Here is an 18622-nt window from a genome sequence, read left to right as displayed (position 1 = left end):
AGAGTGAGACTCTGTCTCAAAAAAAAAAAAAAAGTAGAAGTGTGATCTCACTAAGTCACCCAGGCTGGTCTCACACTCCCGGCCTCAAGCAATCCTCCTGCCTCAGTCTCCCAAAGTGTTGGGATTACCAGTGTGAGCCACCACACCCAGCTTATTATTTTAAATTACTAAGTTTTAGGGTAATTTGTTTGTTATACGCCAATAGGTAACTCACGCACCCCCCTTCCTTCTTAACAAGGAGCTGAGATGATTCCCACCCACCCACCCACTGAAGCTCCCTGAGCTCGTGGCCTCCTGATGCTCCTTCCCCTCCAGGACCGCAGCCTGGAACACTGGTTTACAGATCAACCTGGAGAAGCCAAATGAATTAACCAAGCTCCCTAGGGGCCTTTGGAGGACAGGAAAAGGGCTGGAGATTATCCTGCCAGACGGAGAGTGGGGGGCTGTGGGAAGAGGAGTGGGAGCAGAATGTCACCCTGAGGAGAGACCCCACAGAGAAGCACTCACGGAATGCAGCCCATATGCCCTTTCTTCCTTCTGCCCTTTGCTCTTCTCTAAGGGGTAAAGGAAAAAGGAGGCCCTTCGTTCTGCCTCTGTCCCCTCCCTGTCCCCTTTATGAAAGAGCATGGGGAAGTCCCCGCATAGGCCTCAGTGAATCTTCGATGACTACTCTCATAAGCCCAAAGGGCATAGGATGTTAGCTAGTAAAAAGGAAAAATGCCACCCACAGAACTTTCCAGGAAACCCCTGCCCTATTAAAATATCAGGGCTTCCACTAAGGCTGTGGGGAGCAGGGTCCTGGGCTGGAGCTGAGGAGTCTCTGAGCAGCAGCGAAGGGTAGGAACGATGCTTTGGAGGCTTCTTGTTTTTTGTTTTTGAGACAGGATCTCACTCTGTCACCCAGGCTGGAGTATAGTGGCACGATTATGGCTCACTGCAGCCTCAACCTCCCAGGCTTAGGTGATCCTCCCACCTCAACCTCCCAAATAGCTGGGACCACAGGGGCGTACCAGCATGCCCAACTAACTTTTTTTTTTTTTTTTTAGAGATGAGGTCTCACTATACTGCCCAGGCTGGTCTCGAACTCCTGGGCTCAAGCAATCCTTCTGCCTCCGCCTCCCAAAGTGCTGAGATTACAGGCATAAGCCATGACACCTGGCCTGGAAGCTTCTAAAAGGACTTCAAGACTTCCTTTTGCAGTGTGATCATCTCTGGCAGGGCCAGAGCTTCCTCCTTCCTGTGCCAGTGTTTCTCTGCCAGTGACAAGGCAAGAGTCATCACCATCCTGAGGCTCAGAACCTCAGATTGCTGTAAATGGTTCATTGTTCAGGCTTCAGAGGGTCCCCCCTCTACCTAAGGCTCTGCACAGAACAAAGGTGTCACCTTCTTCATCGTCTGTCTCTAATGAGTGACTATTGTGTCTCTGCAGGGACATGTCCTCAGGTCTGTCTTTTTGTGTCTTTTTGCACACGGCACACAGACCCAGTGGGATGCCACTCACACATGCCACCATGCCCCTCCTGCTCCAGCAGTTTCACTCCCACTCACCCACTCGCTTTCAATATTTTGTTCTCCTGTATGGGGTTAAAGTCCCCTGACAGAGTCATCTGTGGCCAAAGTCCAGGGCCCCACACCTATTTGCAGGCAGAGGTCTCTGTCCCATGCCAGACTGGAGGATGCCATGTGCTGAGGCCGTGTTTGCTCTGCTGAGAGGACCATTGACATGGCCCAGGTGAATGCTCCAAGACAGACAGACAGAGCAGGGCGCAGGCCGACTTGGGTTCTTCAATATCATTCTTAGCATGACCAGAGCAGGCCTGCTTTCTCCTTCACTAATGGATAATCAGACAAGTACTCCACACACACAGAGCACTTCACAGTTTCCAAAGCCCTTTATTATCCAATATTCACAACAACCCATTTTGGTGGGTTATTATCATTATCCCATTTAATAGGTGAGGAAACTGAGGCTCAGGGAGATTGACTACAGTTACATCAGCAAAGCTGGAATGAGAAGCCGGGGCTCCCGACTCCCACAGCTGCAGCTGGCTGTTTTGCTCTACGCACAGGCCTTTGTTCACAGCCTTCCCCTTTGTCAGACATAGATTACACCCTTGAGAGGGCCAGCCAGGGCTGTATCTCCTGAGACATGCATTGTTCAGTCCCTCTCCTGAAGGGTGCATAGGACATGTGACAGTCACCGGGCACATACTCATATGCTGCACATAGAACGTGCATAATACAAAGGCGGTGCCTGCATTCACAGCAGTCTGTGCCCTGCCTTGTCCACTGCACTGCTCAACTCCTCAGGCCTGCCGCAGCCGGCCCAGTGACCTCCGTTGGGGTGTGACAAGCAGTGACCACTGGGTGGCAGTGTGTTCTCATGCCTGGGACCAGAAAAGCCTCCAAGGGCTGAGGAACGTGGGGGGTGGGGCAGAGGTAGGAGCCCCAGCCGGCTGCCCAGAGAGGTTTCCAGACCGGATCTCCTGGAAGACTTGACAAGGCAGTCCTCTGCGCGCCGCGCGTGTGTGTGTGTGTGTGTGTGTGTGCGTGTGCGCGCGCGCGTGTGTGTGCATGTGTGTGTGCACGTGCGCGCGAGCATATGTGCGCATCTGCTGCAGCCGGAGGGCCAAGGACAAGTGCTGAAGTGCAGCTGAGTGTGGGGTGGGGTGGACCCAAAGGACAAAAATATCAAGGAAACCAGGGCAGCCAGCGCACTGTGGGTGGAAGGTGGGTGGAAGGACGGAGGAGAGAGCTGCGGAGGCAAGGGGCAAGGGCTTTTTCGGGGGAGCTTCAGAGAAATGATTACCCAGGAGAGAGAAAGAGAGAGTGAGCGCAAGAGAGAGAGAGACCAAGAAAGAAACACGAAGCAGCCAGAAACAGAAAAGGGGAAGGTGAGGGAGGCTGGCTGGGGAAAGTAGGTTAGGAGGCTAGGGTGGGAGAAGGGAGCCCTCAGAGGCTGGGGAGAGACGGGAACCTTCACTTGGACAAGAAAGAGCCAGACTCAGGCTTGCTGCTGACAGGGAGTTTATTTGGACTGGGCTGCTGAGATCTGCTGGCTGCCTCAGCTCCAGGTCAGAGCTGCTCCGGCTCGGGCTCGGGCTCGGGCTCCGGTTCCGGCTCCGGCTCCGGCTCCGGTTCTTGCTCCAGCTCCTCTATCTTGCTCTGAGCCTGCGGAGGGTGAATCCCTTGCTCTAAGGCAGAAAATCGTCTTGGTCGCCACTGTGAGAAGAGATGGAGAGAGAGACGGAGGGCGGAAGGAGGAGAAGGATGAAGGGAAGCGGATGAGGAGGGACACTGAGTCCCTCTATTTTTTCTCAGCGCCCCTGCCCTCCCCATCTGGTCCTGGCTTTCTCCCAACCCCCCTTCCAGCCTACCCAGGCACAAGCCATCCCTGGAGTGAGAGGCTTATGAAGAAGGGGGGCTCTGAGGGCAAGTTCAGGGTCCCATTTGGTCACCTTCCTGAGGAAGGGGTGCCATCAGCACTCTGAGGATGGAAGAGCGGGAGCTGCTGGGGGGCGGGGTTGCCATGTCCCTGGCTCACCTGTCTTCTCCAAAGGTGAAAGCCAAAGGCTCCAGTCACCAAAAGGAGCAGAGAAAGGACACCAAGGATGAGAAACAGCAGGAGGTGGCCTGCTGGGAGGGCACCTGGGGCTCTCCCAGAGCGTTGGGCACCTATGGAGAAAGTACAGGATGAGGCATAGGGTCAGGACTAGAAAGGACACTTTGTCATTCTCTCAGACTTTACAGATGCAATGAGATCCAGAGAGTTTAAGGGACTTGTCCCAGGGTCATTCAGCTGATCAGTGGCGGAAACGGGTCAACCCTAGGCAAAAGCCAGAGATCAGGTCCCTGACTGGAAAGAAAAGCGCTGGGATGGGGGTGGCAGGGGCTGTTCTGGAAGGAGGATAAAGATTATTGCTGTGGCGTTTGGGTCCTGGCATTCTGGGGCCTCGGACCTGGGCTAGACAGCTCTGTGAAGTACACTGCTGCTCCAAGAAGCCTCTCCCCCTGGTACAGCTGGCATTGCCAAGGCTGGGAAAGGAGCTGGGCCTCCTGTGCCTCCAGCCAAGGTCCTGAGAAACTCCTCTGGGATGGGGTGTCCAGAGAGCTCCACACAAAGCGTTCTTGTCCAGATACTGGAGTCACCTCACAAAGCAGCTTCCCCAGGGATCCAGGTGACCCAAAGGATTTGGGAGTCACTGAAAAGAGTAGAAGGAAGAGATCTTTTGGGATTCTGCCCCCCTTACGTGATATCACAGGTTGAACCCCAAGTCTCAATCACCCTGCACTCACTTGGGTTCTGGCCAGGGGAGGTTGGGGAAGGACATCATGGGTCATGGCCACGTTCATCTTTTTCTTTCTATTTATTTTTTTATTAAATTGTATACAGATGCGTTTTCACCATGTTGCCCAGGCTAGTCTGGAATTCCTGGACTCAAGTGCTCCTCTCGTCTCAGCCTTTCAAAGTGCTGGGATTACAGGTGTGAGCCATCATGCCCTGCCGGCCACATTTATCTTATTCAGACAATGCTCTAGTCAGCTCCCTCCCCTGCTCAAAACATTTCCAGGCTCCCTACTGCCTTCACACTCAAACTGGCCCTGGCAGACCACAGAATAAATACTATTACAGATTCTTTTACATTACTTTCTACTCAAATGCTCAGAACCCTCAAAATCAGTCAGATGAGCTGACCCCCATCTACTTCACAATTTTGGAACTTCCATGATGCGGCTCACATCAGTGTCCCCTGCCTTGTGGTGCCCCCTGAATGAACATCATCCCCCTTTCTGAAGGTATAGAGAACAGGGAACTGACCCATTCATCTAGAGACAGAGCATTCTCCAAGTTGTAAAGTGAGAGATGGGTGGGTGGGAGGAGACAAAGGGTGAAGGGCATCTGAGTAGTGTCCTGGAGAGTGATTTGGTGATGCAGACACCTGAGTTTAGACCCAGAGTCTGGCACTTCCCAGCTGTTTTGAGAAAGTCTTCGGGGTAACAGTATCTCTCTCATTGAGCCGTCTACATAAAACAGTTGACCTTCAAGAGGGCATTGGACAGAAAGAACTGGTGGACTTTGATGACTGATGGGATGTAGAGAGGAGGAGGCCAGGTTTCGAGGTGGATGGATACCAGTGGATTACTGACAGGCTGAGTCAGCAAGGGGATTGGTGGGAGAAAAAGCTGGGGTTCAGGGTAAGGCGGCTGAGAGGTGGTATAACATCTAGTTAGAGGTATCCAGAAAGCAAGTGAAAACTCAGGATTGGCCTTCAGGAGATGTATTATCCATTAGCATGTTCACGTATTCATTCAATCTCTATACATTATTAAGCACCTGCCGTGGGGTGCTACTACTGAGTGGCCGCAGGTGCGTGCTGCAGACATGGCTAATCTGTCATGGCCGATAGTTATCAACCAGTCAACACATACTCTCTGAGTATTCTTTTTTCTGTGTTTGTTTTATACTGTCTTGGAAAACCCTTGCTCAGTAAATATTTGCTGACCAAGGGACGGATTTATTCACTCCTCCCAAATCCAGGCCACTTCCTGCAACTCTAACCCAAGCCCTGGCTGCAAAGTAGACAAGGATTCTAGAAATATATTCTACCTCTTTCGAACCATTCAGAATTTTTGTCACCTTTCCTTCTAACTTCCCAGACCCTCCCGCCAATTGAGAGCAGGGGAGTCCCATAGAGAACGGTGGAACTTTTATCTTGTGACTCAAGAGGAGATTTTCAGTTTCGTTTCTTTATTATGGGGGTGAGAAAAGTGGGGGCCGAGATGGGCAGGCTCTGGAACTTGTGCCCAGTGGCCTGGCATCACAGGGTGGGTTTGCCTAGTCTTTGCCCTGCCAGCCCTTCCTCCCTGTCCTTTCTACCCTGGGAGGGCAGCTACTCCTTTCCCACCTGAGGCTGACCTGTGATGATTGCCAATGTGACAGTGGCATTGAGCTGCTGTTCCTGCAGATGGATATGGCAGGTGTAGGTCCCAGCCTGGGCCTGGCTCACATCCTCTAGTCGAAGGGTAAAGTCGCCATTGTCTCCAGTCACCAGGAGGTCAGGGCCTCCCCCAGGAGGAGTCCACTTGGCAGTGAGGAAAGACCGGGTCCCCACACCAGCAGGCAGGCGGCAGGGCAGCCCCACCCTGGAACCTGCTCCAGCGTACACTGTCAAGGGAGTTGGGGGCTCCAGACCTGAAGAGAAAAGAAAACCCAAAGTTAAAGCTGGGTGCTGCAGTGGGGAGGGAGTGCTGGGGCTGCAAGGAAGGGAGGCAGAAGAATTCAGGAGATGGTCTGGCTCATAAGAGTGCTAAGGAGCAGAATAAGGTGATGAGCTGAGGAGGCTCAGAAACCCAGCAAGTGGGCTTAGCCGGAAGGAGAGGGAAGGCCGGCAATGACGCTGGAAGGCCACGGGAGAAGCAAGAAGGGGTGATGGCAGCTGTGAGGCTGCCAGCAATATAAAGGGGTCGAACAGTGAGACCCACAGCAATGACGTAGGCCACTCGCTGCCGAGAACCTGGTTTGGGGACCCATAGTTAGGGGAGGTGACAAGGGGGGCAGGAAGGAGTTGTGGTCAAATGTGAAGCAGAGTGGGGGAGTTACCCAGAACAGTGAGGTTATACATGATGGAGACGTTGAAGCCATCTCTGTAGGTGAGGATGCAGCCCCAGGGCCCAGAGTCCATGGGGCTGACTTGGGGCAGGAAGAGGAAGCTTTCCGCTAAGTGGTGATGGGGGGACTCCCGGACAGGGACTCGGCCCTGGCCCCGGTTCCGGAACCAATGCACAGAGGCTGGGCGGTCAGGGCGGCTGAAGGAGCAGTTCAAAATGACCCAGTCGGAGGCTCTGAGAGATCCTGGGGGGCTGGCAGTCACTGTGCAAGGATAAAGAAGACTTCATCAGCCCACTGGAAACAATTTCCCAACACAGCAGGGCTGCCAAGCCGGAAGCTCCTGGAAACAGGCACCTGGCTTTAGACTTGTCTTCTCCTCTCCCACATCACCCTCTCCCCATCTCAGCTTCCAGCACCTGGAGGTGCATAAAGTGGATCCCCAAGACTCCCCAGGACCACTTTCCCCGTCCCTGGCCTGGAGTTTACTTGGCATCAGCCACCCTTGCCGTTTTCCTGGCCTGGAACCCCGCGAAGCCCACCCCCTGAGCTACAGATATCTGAAATGAATCACTTTAGCCCCATGCTCTCCCCCCCTCCCCCTCCCTCTGGGCACTCCCGCGTGGGTGGGAGAAGGGGAGCTCGGGGGTGACACAATCTCTCCACAGGGCCCCCCATACACGTGCTTCGGGGGCACCTTCCACTCCAGCAGGCCGCCCACCCCCTTCCTCTACTCTTCTGGGAGCTCTCCGACAGGGCCTAGGGCGCAGCCTCTGCCCCAGCCCTTCCTGCGTCCCGGGAGGCAGGGGATGGGGACCCACCTCCCAGCCCTTCTCCCATCGTCCCGCCCCACATACTCGAGGCCTGGCCCAGGCGCAGACGGAGGCGGCAGGAGAGGGCGCGGTCCCTGAGGTGCACCGCGGCGCGGTACTCGCCGGCGTCCGCGCGCCGGGCTGGGCGCAGCCATAGCGAGAAGTCCCCGCGCTGCCGGCCGCGCTCATCCAGCTGGACGCGGGGCTGCAGGGGCAGCCTCCCGCTGCGCAGGCCTCCGGGACCCACGCTCAGCACCGTGTAGCGGCGGGGCCTGGGCCCCCAGGAGGAGGGCGCCGCCGGGTGAGGGCCGGGGGCCAGGGGATGGCCGGGGGCGGCAGCGGGCGGGCCACTGGGCGGGAAAGAGAATGGAGTTGAGAAGCTCCAGGGGTAGGAAGCCCGGGAGGATGCAGGCAGCCACCCGTTGAGGATGAGAAAGCCCGCCCCAAGAGTTCTCTTGACCACCAACCGTCCCCTCACGCCCGACCCCTCTGTTGGACTGGCCGCATCCACTTCTGGAGAGAAGGGATGCTGGCGTGAGGGTCGCTGATTGCAGAGCAAGGGCAGGAACGGTGCAAGCGAGGGCAGGGAGACTGGGTCACTGGCTTCAGAGGGAGTGACACCTCAGGGCAGGGGACAGAGGACCGGCACGGGTGTGGGGTTGAGTGCTGGATTCGGAGGTCCTGTTGCCCAAGTTTGGGGTGCATACCTGTCTGGCTGATGCTGCCAAGTGACCCCTGCTCTTCGCAGAAGGCTGAGATCCTGGAGGGGGATTGTGGGGCTGCAGGGGAGCTGGGCAGGAGCCCCCTCCTGGGCCCACACCACCGGGACCTCAGCCCCTGGCTGGAGAGGCTTCACTAGGTGAGCAAAAGAGAGGCCAAGGGGAGGGGGCGTGAGCCGAGAGGCAGGGGTAGAGAAGGAGCCTGGGTGTTTCCCGAGGGAGAAACAGGGTGCAGGAAGAACTTGGGTTTCTGTTTCTTCTCTGCCCAGAGAGGCTTTCGGGGTGGAAGGACTGCCCAAAAAAGGGATTAGAAGAATCCACAGAGCTAAGGACCTCAGGACCTTTGTGGCCACAGAGATCCCTGCTGGTCCCCTCCTGTGGGGCTGGAGGTCAACCCTCCCGCCATCCCCGTTTTACCTGGAGCCACCCAAAGCGGCTGCAGAAACAGCAAGCCCAGGAACTGAGCCTCCCACATCTCTCCTATGGTCTGGGCAGCGCTGAGCCCTCCAAAAGGAGGTCAGAAAAGGAAAGGGGGCAGTGGTGGGGGGTGGGGGGTAAAGGAGAAGTTCTGCAGAGAGGGAGGTGGAGGAAGGGGTTCTAGAAGAAGGGAGACCAGGAGAGGGCCTTGGAGAGAGGGTGGGGAGGGATGACCAGAGGCCGGAATCCAGAGGAAAGCTGGAAAGCTGGGCAGATCAGGCAGCCTGAGGAGGTGGGGGCGGGGGTGTCCCAGGGAACAGAGCAGGGCCGTGGCGGAGAGCAGACAGAGCAAAGTGGCCGTCGTGGCTGGGATGCCGTTCTGCTGGTCTCTGGGCCTTCACCCCTGTGCCCGGCCTTCCCTCCACCTTCCCCACTTCCCCTCCTCCCGGCCCGCCCCCCGCACCCCAGGGCTTACGGTTTCGCTTCGCAGTGGAAAGTCTGAGGGGGTTGATTCCCAGCAGCAGCACCCTCCACCTCTCCACCTCTGTGGTGGCGCTCCCCTTGTTTACTTCCTCAGTCCTGGGTCTCCCCACCTCCCCCTCCTCGCCCCTGCCCCACCCTCCAGACTGCTCCCTCTCCCAGGGACCTTCTGCCTCCACGAACCATTTCTGCCTGGAACTGCCCCCTTGCCCATCTCTAAGCTGCCTCCTCAGTCCCAATATTCACACCTCCTTCTTGGCAAGCTCTTTCCTTGTTGCTCAATCTCCTTCCTCGTTCCCTTAACCTCCCAGAACTTCGTGACCCCTTTAGACCTGCCTTTCCACCCATCAGTACAATGTCCCTGGGAACATGGTGGACAGGAAGCCTTACTGCACCCCAAAAAATGGTAGGTCTGAGGCTAGGCATGCCAGCTTTGTGGGGCATGGAGAATAACTACATTGTATTGAGGCTTCATTACGTGCTAAGCACTGTATTGGACACTTTACTTATAGTAATTCATGAAATCTAATGCTTTTCCCCATTGTACAGATGAGGAAACTGAGCTTCAAAGAAATTGTACAATTTGCCAAGGTTAGGGAGCGTGAAGATAAAAGCTGTGAGTGTACCTGTGTGCGTGACAGTGTGTAGTCCTGACCTTGGATGAGTTACGGGCGTCTCCTGGGAGAAATGATGCTGTTGATGAGTCAACACCCCTCCCCACTCCAACTCAGGTCCCCATGCCCTCAGAAGCATCCTCCAGTCCAGAGGTTCCGAACTAAGAGGAGAAGGCAAGGGCCATGCGGAGATGGAGAAATGCAGAAATCTTAGAAATCTCCTAACAGAGATCAAACTCAGGGGAAACAGAGGCAGTGGGACTAGGGAAGGCCCAAGACTGACAAGAGTCATACAACTCCCGCTCCCCAGCCCAGCCCAGGGAGAGTTGGAGGGCAGGTGACGAAACATACAGCCGACCTGGGGATGACACGAGACCCAGGATTTCCCTGCTTGACTGGAAGGAGCTCGCTTCCATGCCAGGCAGAGGGCATCTCTGATGCCAGGCAGCTCACTCCAGATCCTAGCAGGCTGAGACCCAGGACTACCAGCCCTCTCCCAGCTCAGGGGAAGGACTTCCTGTTTCTGGGCTGTTTCTCTGTGCCTGGTTCAGCACAATAGAGCTGGTAGCTTTCCACTGGGCTCAGCAGTGTCTAGGTCTTGTGTGGGTTAGCAGGGAAGTGTGTATTGCTGGGGAGGAGCATCCCTGAGAATCCAAAACAGGACATAAGTCAGCTCTCAGAAGAGCTGGGCTCCAGGCCACCCCTGGAGGGCTGATCTTGTCTTCTTGAGTCGTGGGTGGTAGGAGTGTGCTGCTGCTTTTGTATCAAAGGGAAGGGTCCTGGCAGAATGGGAGGTCAGCCACCCTCCTCCCTCTCTACCCTTTTGTCGCACTGACTGGAGCCCCCGGGAAAGCAGGAGACAGGTTAAAAACAGAAGCGCGACCATTTCTTTATTAAATTATACAAAAAGGGAGGGGAGGGGGGCAGCTGTGGGGCTCGGCCCCAACCCCGGCCCCACCCCGGCCTGGCGCTGTCTGAGAAGAGGGGATCTGAGGGAGATCCAGGGATCAGGCAGGATAGGGATGGGGCAGGACATGAGGCTGGGGGATGCAGAGGTTAGGTGGGAGAGGCTACCGGAGGAAGAATGAGGCTGGTAGGGGAGGGAGAAAGAGAGCAAAGAGAGAGAGGAGCAATTGGGGGCCAGCTGGAGAGCTCAGATGGAGCAGGTCAGGAGGTGGAACAATGGCAGAGTGAGGGTGGAGGGCGCAGTGTCTGGAGAGGCGGAAATGAGAAGGCTGGGGAGAAAGAAGAGGGTGGCAGCTCTGGTGCAGGGCCCAGAGCAGGGAGCCAGGTGAAGAGTGGCTGGACTTGGCTGCCCCCACCCCCACCTCCAGGCCCAGAGAGGCCTCCCAACCCCAGCCTGTTGGCAGGGGCTCACGCCGATGCCCCATTTTCTGTCTTCTGCCGTTTGGGATCCGCTTCATCCTGTGGAGAGGGAGAGAATGGGGGAGCTGTAAAATGGGAGGGGAGACCTCCCCCTGTCCCGGTCCTGTTCCAGCCCCCACCCCTGCCACACAGGGATCTGGGTCCAAATCCAAAGGGCGCCCAGCCCGGCTGCATCCCTGACAGCCCCTCAGGCCCAGCAACCCAGCCCAAACCTCCTCTTCGGCAGCTCTCTTCAGCGCGGGCCCTTCATCATCCTCTTCTTCTTCTTCCTCATCTGAGGAGCCAGAAATGGGTCATTGGGGAAGGGCAGGAAGCTCTGGCAGAGCCCCCGTGGTCGCCCTCAGCCCTGCTTCAGGTCTTCAAACCCACCCTGACTCTGCTCTCCTTTGAGCCCAGACTTTGCCAGCCCAGCCTCCCCTGCCCCTCCCCACCTTCTTCTTCCCCTTCATCTTCCTCCTCTCCATCCTCGGCAGTTTCTTCTTCTTCCTCCTCAGCCCCGTTCTCCTCCTCCTGTGGGGACCAGGAGAGGGAGTAGCCTCAGGCTGGCTGCATGCCTTGCCCACCATCACCACCAATGGGACTGGAGCCTGGGTGATAAAAGGGCTTGGGATGGGCCACAGGGTGGGGCAGCAAGGGTGACAGGGCTCAGGGGAACGGCAGGACCCAGCACCCTCGGAAGGAAAGCAGAGGAAGGATGAGATGATTGGGAGGGAAGATGGTAGGGCAGATGTGGTCCTCTCCCCCACCCCTCCACACCTCCACCACTTCTTTCTTTCGCTCTTTCCGGCTTGCCTTCTCCTCCACCTTCTCCTTCTTCTCCTTCAGGTCCTGCAAAGGAGAAAGAGGTCACCTTTCTCACCACAAATGGCTTGCAGCCCCTAAGTCCCTGCAGCCCCAGTTCTCCCTCTGTAGTGAGCTTAGAGGTGTGTGAACTGAATAAGGTGGCCACAGCTTAGAGACAGAATAGGGGCCCTAGGGTCCTTACATTAGGGCCATGAAGGGGTTGAGACCAAACACCTCCTTCCCCAAGACCCAAGGTGAGGTGGGAAAGGGATGAAGAAGCAGGAGCGGGCAACCAGGGTAATGATCCCCACCCCCATCAAGTTCTCCCAAACCTCACTGGCTGAAGAGTTCAGCTCAGCAAAGCAAATCCTCTCCATCTGCTTGCAGCCTCAGTGCCCCGCCCCCTCCTGTGTCCCTCCGCCTCCCTTGCCTGCCCCGCCACTGCCCGCCCAGCTCTGCCTTTTGTCTACCTCTGGGGCCTTTTCCTGAGGACTCTCTCTCCTGGGCATCCCTCCCAGCTTCCCCTTCAGCTTCTAAGGTCTTTGTTTCTCTCCATCTGTGTCTCCCTAATCCTCAGGCCCCTACTTGGCCAAACACTACACCTTAGCACATTCCCAGCACCCCTCCCACTTTCTGCCCTCCCCGCCCCAAAACAGTTCAAGTAGTTTCCTCTATCCCTGCCTCCCATGGTGTATGCATGGGTGTAGTGGAAGTAGCCATTTACGGTGGAAATGTAGGTGAAGTAGAAGAGAAAACAAGGAGGGGAAGAGTAGCAGGCGTGGGAAACAAGGAGAGAGCAACAAACAAGGTCTGTGACTGGGGTGGGATAGGAATGGAGAAGAGGGAGGGACCAGTCTAGGAGACCCTCCCACCAGCCAGCCCCTCTCCTTCACCCCAAGATCCTAGCAGGCATAGGTTGACGTCCTGTGCTGATATGGCACATCTGAGTCCCTTCTGGACACTACACTAGCCTCCCAATTCAGATTCCAGTGCTCTCCCCACCCACTCCTTGGCAGGCACAGTGTAACACGGTAGGTGTCCTTGTGTGATCTGATCTGGTGTTGGTGTGCCACGCTGTGTATCTGATTCCATGTGAATGGAAGTCTCCTGTGTGAGATCACCCTGGGCGGGGGGGTCCTTTCTGGAACAGGATAGGGGATAGGAGAGGAGCCTGGTGCAGAACGGCTGCCCTGGGGGGCACTCAATTCCCTTCTCCCTTTAAGGGTAGCTCAGAACTCTTCACTCTCACTCCAGAGAGGGTGCCCTTCCACCCCACCGTGAGGTCTTCATTTCTGTGCCACAAGGTCAGTATGGCATTTCCACTACCTAGGGGGCTCTTCCCTACGTCCTGGGCCAGGAGAGCAAAGAGCTGGTCAGCTTCTCTCTGGGGGCCCCAGCACCAAAAGTCTGTATGGCCCTGGCCTGACTTTCCCATCTGGGCTGATGCAGGGAGGGAGAATACCAGAGACCAAAGTTCAAGGGGCCGGGCCCTCTCCTCCCCTGTTCTGTCCTTCTGGTCACTGTCCTTCCATGATCCCTTTTCCAGGAGAATATGTGACCTGGGCCCTAGGTCTTCTGCTAAGCAGCCCTCTGGCCTCATTTACTCAACACAGGCACACACACCGACACCGGCCGACAGCCATGCACAGACACAGTTAGAGAGGAGCACCCACGCGATGGGAGACACATGGCCCAGCGTTGGGCCATTCTGGTCCACACTCTTGAGACAGCACGGGAGCACAGCGGAGCCACTCAGCACTCACAAAGCGACAACATGGCTCCAGAACATCTACGTCTCCACATGCACACATGTAACTGACACGGGCAGTCCCACACACTCGCTGGATTTCAGACATACAAAGACACCTACTCAGTGAAGTCACATGCCACCGCACAGCCCGCCGGAGGGCCACACGGGCGCACCTTGGCAGATCGCACACAGCCCCTCTCCCACCGCCGTTAATCCCATTGGCTCCCCCCGTTTCACTCCGCGGGCCTCCGGGAGACCTGTGTGACGGCCCCTCAGCAACCACCGCGCCCCCCCCCCCCGCCATACACATACACACACAAGATAGGGCTCCCAGCCCCCAAACCCCGGCCGCGTTAATTTCCCAAAGCGACACTCCGCAGGTTCCCTGGGGAAATTAGAGGAAGGCTGGAAGAGAGGCAAGGGCGAACGGATGGGGCCGGGGAAGGGAGCTGATGAGGGCGAGGACAGCTCGACGCAATGCCATGCAATGCCCAGCCTCGGCTTTTTCGAAGGCTAGTCCTGCCCCGCTTCTAATTTTTAGGAATTCGAGATTCTTTCAGTGTGTATGCGGGAAGGGGACGATGAAGAGAAAAGAAAGCTGAAAGCCAGCTGAGGGGAGGGAACGAGAAAACAGAGGCGGCCGCCGTCCGGGGAGAGAAGCGAGCGACGGTCGGGCCGCGGGGAGGGGCCCGGAGGAGCAGCCTCCAGGGAGAGTCCTGTTTACACTTGAGGATCTCAAACCGCTTAGCGAGGAAAGGTGAGGTCAGGTTGCAAGCAAAGACGCGGCAGCGGGGCGCAGGGAGGGGGCGCGGCAAAGTGAGACTCGGGGCGTTCGGACGGGAAGCCGGACGGGATCCGGTCAGCGAGGTGGGGCCGAAGAGGGGTGGGGACGGCTGCGGGGGACGGCGCGACCGGAGCGGCGAGGCCGGGCGCCGTGGTGCGCGCAGGGCAGCTAGAGGGCGCTGGCGCTAGCCGCGCGGAGCCGGGAAAGGAGCTCCGGGCCGGGGAGCGGTGGGAGGGCGCAGTGGGGTCCGCCAGGACCCGGGCGCAAGGGCCGCGCGGGGCCGTCGGGGGCGGCCTGGGGCGAAGGACCGCGCCGGGCCCCAGGGCTGCGCGAGGTCCGGGCCGCCGCCGCCCCCGCCCGTACCTTGGCGCTCAACTCGGCCGCTGCCTCCACGCTTTTCTCCGACATGGTGCCGGGGCCGGGGCCGGGGCTGGCGGGGAGCCGGGGTCCCGGGGCCGAGACGGAGGGGCCCTGGACGGCGGAGGGTGGCCGCGGCCGGAACCTGGCGCGGTGGCGGCGGCGGCGGCGACAGCGGCAGCGGCGGCCGCTCGGCAAGCTGGGTCTCTGGAAGAGGCGGCAGAGGCGCGCGGGGTGGGGCGGGGGTGGGTCTGGAGCGGAGACCCGCAGGGCTGCGGCCGTCCGGAGGGCGGGCGGAAGGGCGGTGCAGGCGGTGGCCGGCGCGCTCGGCCGCGGTAGCTCGATCCCGGGCTCGCCGCCCCCGCACCAGCAGAGCTGCCGCCGACCAGCCGCTGCCGCCCCCGGGAAGGGAACCCGCTTATAAGGCGGCGCTGCCCGACGGGAGGGGCTTCCCAGGGGTGGGGCAGGCGGGAGCGGGGAGGAGAGGAGAGGGGAGGGGGATGAAAGAGGAGGTTGGAGAGGTGGGGATAGGAGGATGAAAGCGAGGGGAGGGAGAGCTAGGGAGTCGGGAGGGAGGACGAGACCAGGAGGGGGAAATGGAGAGACTGACGGCCGCGGAGAAAGAGTGGGGCGAGGAGGTGGGAAGGGGTGGGGTTCCTGCGGGGAGGCACCTTTCCAAATCCCAACCTACTGCCTGCGAATGTGGAGTCTGGCTTTTGGGGGCGGACTGGAGAGGTGGCCAGAATCCTACTGACCCCAAAAAAAGCCCTGGGATTTTGCCAAGGGGTGGGGTGAGGGGAGCAGATGGGAAGATAGGGCAGGTATTTGAGAAACCAAAAGCTTAAAGAAGAGGAAGAGGGTTCGGGCGCTCCTTCCACACCACGCCGGATTTCCCCCTCTCATCCTCCATCCACATTCTCTGGATGGCCTTGAGGAGGGATGGGAGGGCAGAAAGGGCGGCCCAGCCTTCTGTCCCGCCAGATTGACACTTGTGACCCTTGCCGGGTGCCTCCCTTCCTGGCCCCGTGCTGTGAGCCGGGGGGAGTCAGGCCCCCTGGTCTCCTTTGCTGTCTTCCAGCTCTCTTCCATCTTCTACCTCTCTTATTCGCCCGTCTCACCTCACTTTTATTCGCCTGGTCCTTCTATTTCTCTTCATCCGTCCTCAGTCATCTGTACCTAGACCCCTCCTTCACAACCAATTATAACTCGAATCGCTCCCATTCTTCTCTCACCTCTTCTCCACTCCTCACTGACTCTCTTCTGCCCTTCCACCTCTGGTCTCTTTCCCTATCTTTCCCAGACAACCCTGCTCTTGTCTTATCTGAGTCAGGCACCTGGCCCTCTATTCTTGGCTGGCTTTCCTCAACTCCTCTTTCTGTCCTCATTTTTTACATTTTCCATCCTTCAGCTTTTCTCATTCCTCTGCTGCCATCTTCCCTAGCCTTTCTGGGTTATATTTGCCTCCTTTGCAAATATAATACAGGTCCAGGTCTGGAGTTCCAGCCCCACCCTATTCCACACATCCTCAGCTCCTCGCCCTCAATCTCGGTATCTTTGAGTCATTTTGAAAAGCTTGGGATTTCAGAAGGGAACAGGGGCTGGGTTGTGTATTAAAGGTCAGGAAGGTGGACAGAGTGGAAGGCTGGGGTTTGGAAAAAGACCTTTGGTGTGCGTGCACTCCCATATTTGTCTGTCATTATCATTATTCCTCATCTTATTATTTTCATTTTATTAATAAAAAACTACGTTGATGATCATTATCATTATTTTGTGTTTGAGTGCTTAAATACACCATCTTTTGGTCCCTTGATGTACACGCCTCCCAGTTTCTCTTTCTGACTTTTCTATCAATATTTCAGTCTCAGTCTCCTCAAAAATCTTGGGGCCCCACCCAGGATTTTTCCTTGCCGGACTCTGTCCATCTTTTCTGAGATCTTTCCATGTCCCTCTCTCAATCTGTTTCTCTGACTCACTGGCTGATGTCTTCAGCCGTCTCTCACCGTCTCCATCTCTGTACTCCTCTTGCTTCATTTATCTCCCTCTCCTCGATCCTTTGCTACTCCCCCCCCCGCCCAACCAACAACCCAGTCTCCCAGTCTCGCTCCCTCCCCATCAGGCTCTTTCCTCTCCCTCCCGCCTTCCTTTCCTCTTCCCTCCACTCCACCTCCCAGCCCCGCCTGCTGTCTCGGACACCCTGCTGGGCTCTTACCCTGTTGCCCTGGTAACCGCCCCCCACTCCGGTCACCTCCACTCCTCTCCCCCCTCCAATCACCGCCACCAACAACCTCCATCCACCTTCCTCCTATTTTTCCTGATAGCCAATAGAAACCCTGTTGCCAGGTGGAATGCTCATTTGAATCAGCCAATCCAGAAGCCTAACTGCTTGCCCTGCCTTATATGGGGATGTGAGGAGGGCCACTCCCCCAACTCCAGCCCCACAGGGGACCAGCCCCTCCAGTGTCCCTTCTCCCCGCCCTAAAGAGAGGCTGGGACACTCCCTCTCACCCTTCCATAAGGGACCTGGCCTCCCACTTCTCTAACTGGGACCACCAGGGTTAGCGTGGGCTGTGGGCCGGACTGTGGGCTGGGCCTCAGGGCTGGGGGTGGGAATGAGGTGTGATTAGGGAAGGGGAGGCGGAGGGAGCCGGGAATTTTGCCCAGGGAGGGGTGTCTGGGAGCAGAGGCAGCTGCAGTGGAAAATTCCAGAGAGATGGAGAGGCAGAGAATGGGAATCCTGCCCCAAAGCCCAAGGGAGTGCCTTGAGAATCTAAGAGCTTGAACACTAGGGTCCGAGGGACCCCAGGGAAAAGATCTAGAAAGCTGGAGGCCTGGATCGAATTCCTTTCCTGGTGGATGAAGCATCCTTTAGCCATCTCTCTCTGGTTGGACAACAAACCAGTCTTCTGAAGTCTTGGCTTCATGAGAAAGAAGCTGGAAGTGAGACTTGGGATGAATGTGGAGTGAGTGGGATCTGAAAGCCACCCGACAGTCCTAGGGGTTAGCCTCAGAGCCTCTGGGGCCAACGGTGCTAAATGGCCTGTGTTTGCTTTTCTCTGTGGAACTATTTCTGAGGCTTTGTGGAGGCTTGCCTATTCCTAGAATTACCTTACTCTACAGTCCAATTGAGAATTTCTCCCACTAGTTGAATGGGGGAAGCATGTGCTTCTTACACATTTTCTGAAAGCGGGAAAAAGGTGACCAGGTGAGAACAAGGAAGGTCTGAGCCCCCTGGAAACGATGACTTCTGGCCTGACATCCTAGAAATTTACCTTGATACCATGTGTGGGAAGTGTTCAATTCTAGTTATTTCCATCTCATTCTTGGTGAATTCTTCCCCCTCTCCAGCTTCCTGGATTTTTTCAGTGTGCCTATTTCTCCTGTTGGTTAAGGGGTAAGGAAGGCCTAGTTATCATTCAAGGCCTTGGAAGACAGAGACCTGAAAGTTGGGGGGGCTATCTCCACTCCTCGTTTTACTTTATCCCCATTCCATTCCCAGTGACCTCATTTTCTATCCCCCATTTACCCCATTTTCCTTTGCTTTTTTTATTTTCAATCTAAAACTTTTCAAAACGAAAGTCAGTGGAGAGTTGAGAGGAGATGGAGTCCTAGAGGAAGACCTAAATTAGCCTAACTTCGATCATGTTTTTTTATTATTGTTGTCTTGAGACAGAGTCTCACTCTGTCACCCAGGCTGCAGTGCAGTGGCACAATCTCCACTCACTACAACCTCTGCCTCCTGGGTTCAAGCAACTCTCATGCCTCAGCCTCCCAAGCAGCTGGGATTACAGGCATGTGCCACCACACCTGGATAATTTTGTATTTTCAGTAGAGACGGGGTTTCACTATGTTGGCCAAGCTGGTGTCGAACTCTTGACCTCAGGTGATCTGCCCACCTCGGCCTCCCAAAGTGCTG

At 56.8% G+C, this 18622-nt stretch overlaps 2 protein-coding genes across 5 annotated transcripts, besides 6 other annotated features; both read right to left on the bottom strand.

Annotated features, from left to right (window-relative positions):
* Positions 1850-2501: an enhancer, noted in NCBI's record as "H3K27ac-H3K4me1 hESC enhancer chr12:6888131-6888782 (GRCh37/hg19 assembly coordinates)". NCBI's record gives its function as "activates a minimal SCP1, AML or CMV promoter by ChIP-STARR-seq in naive H9 embryonic stem cells {active_cell/tissue: H9 hESC(naive)}" and the evidence as "EXISTENCE:reporter gene assay evidence [ECO:0000049][PMID:30033119]".
* Positions 2502-3152: an enhancer, noted in NCBI's record as "H3K4me1 hESC enhancer chr12:6887480-6888130 (GRCh37/hg19 assembly coordinates)". NCBI's record gives its function as "activates a minimal SCP1, AML or CMV promoter by ChIP-STARR-seq in naive H9 embryonic stem cells {active_cell/tissue: H9 hESC(naive)}" and the evidence as "EXISTENCE:reporter gene assay evidence [ECO:0000049][PMID:30033119]".
* Positions 2704-2753: an enhancer, noted in NCBI's record as "active region_5881". NCBI's record gives its function as "activates an Ori minimal core promoter by ATAC-STARR-seq in GM12878 lymphoblastoid cells {active_cell/tissue: GM12878}" and the evidence as "EXISTENCE:reporter gene assay evidence [ECO:0000049][PMID:35858748]".
* On the bottom strand, positions 3011-8946 carry LAG3 (lymphocyte activating 3). Of its 3 annotated transcripts, none has more exons than NM_001414176.1 (8): positions 8556-8946; positions 8127-8274; positions 7465-7769; positions 6602-6871; positions 5918-6193; positions 3960-4202; positions 3459-3675; positions 3011-3222 (listed from the first exon to the last, which is right to left on the bottom strand). In NM_001414176.1, the coding sequence occupies exons 1-8, from the start codon at positions 8611-8613 to the stop codon at positions 3195-3197; spliced, it is 1545 nt and encodes a 514-aa protein (NP_001401105.1). In that variant the 5' UTR covers positions 8614-8946; the 3' UTR covers positions 3011-3194. The 3 variants fall into 3 exon arrangements, with proteins under 3 accessions (NP_001401105.1, NP_002277.4, NP_001401106.1); NM_002286.6 differs by having other exon boundaries at positions 3545-3675; NM_001414177.1 differs by lacking the exon at positions 3960-4202 and having other exon boundaries at positions 3545-3675.
* Positions 7357-7686: a silencer, noted in NCBI's record as "silent region_4182". NCBI's record gives its function as "represses an Ori minimal core promoter by ATAC-STARR-seq in GM12878 lymphoblastoid cells {active_cell/tissue: GM12878}" and the evidence as "EXISTENCE:reporter gene assay evidence [ECO:0000049][PMID:35858748]".
* Positions 8947-10513: 1567 nt separating the features above from the next.
* On the bottom strand, positions 10514-15103 carry PTMS (parathymosin). 2 transcript variants are annotated; one of them, NM_001330333.2, is made up of 5 exons: positions 14716-15103; positions 11792-11863; positions 11467-11622; positions 11248-11309; positions 10514-11074 (listed from the first exon to the last, which is right to left on the bottom strand). In NM_001330333.2, the coding sequence occupies exons 1-4, from the start codon at positions 14758-14760 to the stop codon at positions 11268-11270; spliced, it is 315 nt and encodes a 104-aa protein (NP_001317262.1). In that variant the 5' UTR covers positions 14761-15103; the 3' UTR covers positions 10514-11074; positions 11248-11267. The 2 variants fall into 2 exon arrangements, with proteins under 2 accessions (NP_001317262.1, NP_002815.3); NM_002824.6 differs by having other exon boundaries at positions 11467-11545.
* Positions 14299-14798: a silencer, noted in NCBI's record as "silent region_4181". NCBI's record gives its function as "represses an Ori minimal core promoter by ATAC-STARR-seq in GM12878 lymphoblastoid cells {active_cell/tissue: GM12878}" and the evidence as "EXISTENCE:reporter gene assay evidence [ECO:0000049][PMID:35858748]".
* Positions 14909-15238: a silencer, noted in NCBI's record as "silent region_4180". NCBI's record gives its function as "represses an Ori minimal core promoter by ATAC-STARR-seq in GM12878 lymphoblastoid cells {active_cell/tissue: GM12878}" and the evidence as "EXISTENCE:reporter gene assay evidence [ECO:0000049][PMID:35858748]".

The sequence above is a fragment of the Homo sapiens genome, chromosome 12, assembly GCF_000001405.40.
Source record: "Homo sapiens chromosome 12, GRCh38.p14 Primary Assembly".
Classification (NCBI taxonomy): domain Eukaryota; kingdom Metazoa; phylum Chordata; class Mammalia; order Primates; family Hominidae; genus Homo; species Homo sapiens.
Note: the sequence above shows the minus strand (reverse complement) of the source record. Positions and strands in the feature narration are given on the sequence as shown.

Bases quoted from the DNA above. Each gene is read 5' to 3' on its own strand.
- LAG3 (NM_002286.6), bottom strand. From the start codon at position 8,613: ATGTGGGAGGCTCAGTTCCTGGGCTTGCTGTTTCTGCAGCCGCTTTGG. The intron at 8,275-8,555 runs GTAAAACGGGGA...TTGCTCACCTAG, and splicing joins GCCGCTTTGGGTGGCTCCAG to TGAAGCCTCTCCAGCCAGGG. The intron at 3,223-3,544 runs GTGAGCCAGGGA...CTCTTCTCACAG, and splicing joins TTCACCTTTGGAGAAGACAG to TGGCGACCAAGACGATTTTC.
- PTMS (NM_001330333.2), bottom strand. From the start codon at position 14,760: ATGTCGGAGAAAAGCGTGGAGGCAGCGGCCGAGTTGAGCGCCAAG. The intron at 11,623-11,791 runs GTGTGGAGGGGT...TTTATCACCCAG, and splicing joins GAAAGAAAGAAGTGGTGGAG to GCTCCAGTCCCATTGGTGGT. The intron at 11,310-11,466 runs GTGGGGAGGGGC...CTGGCTCCTCAG, and splicing joins AGATGAAGGGGAAGAAGAAG to ATGAGGAAGAAGAAGAAGAG.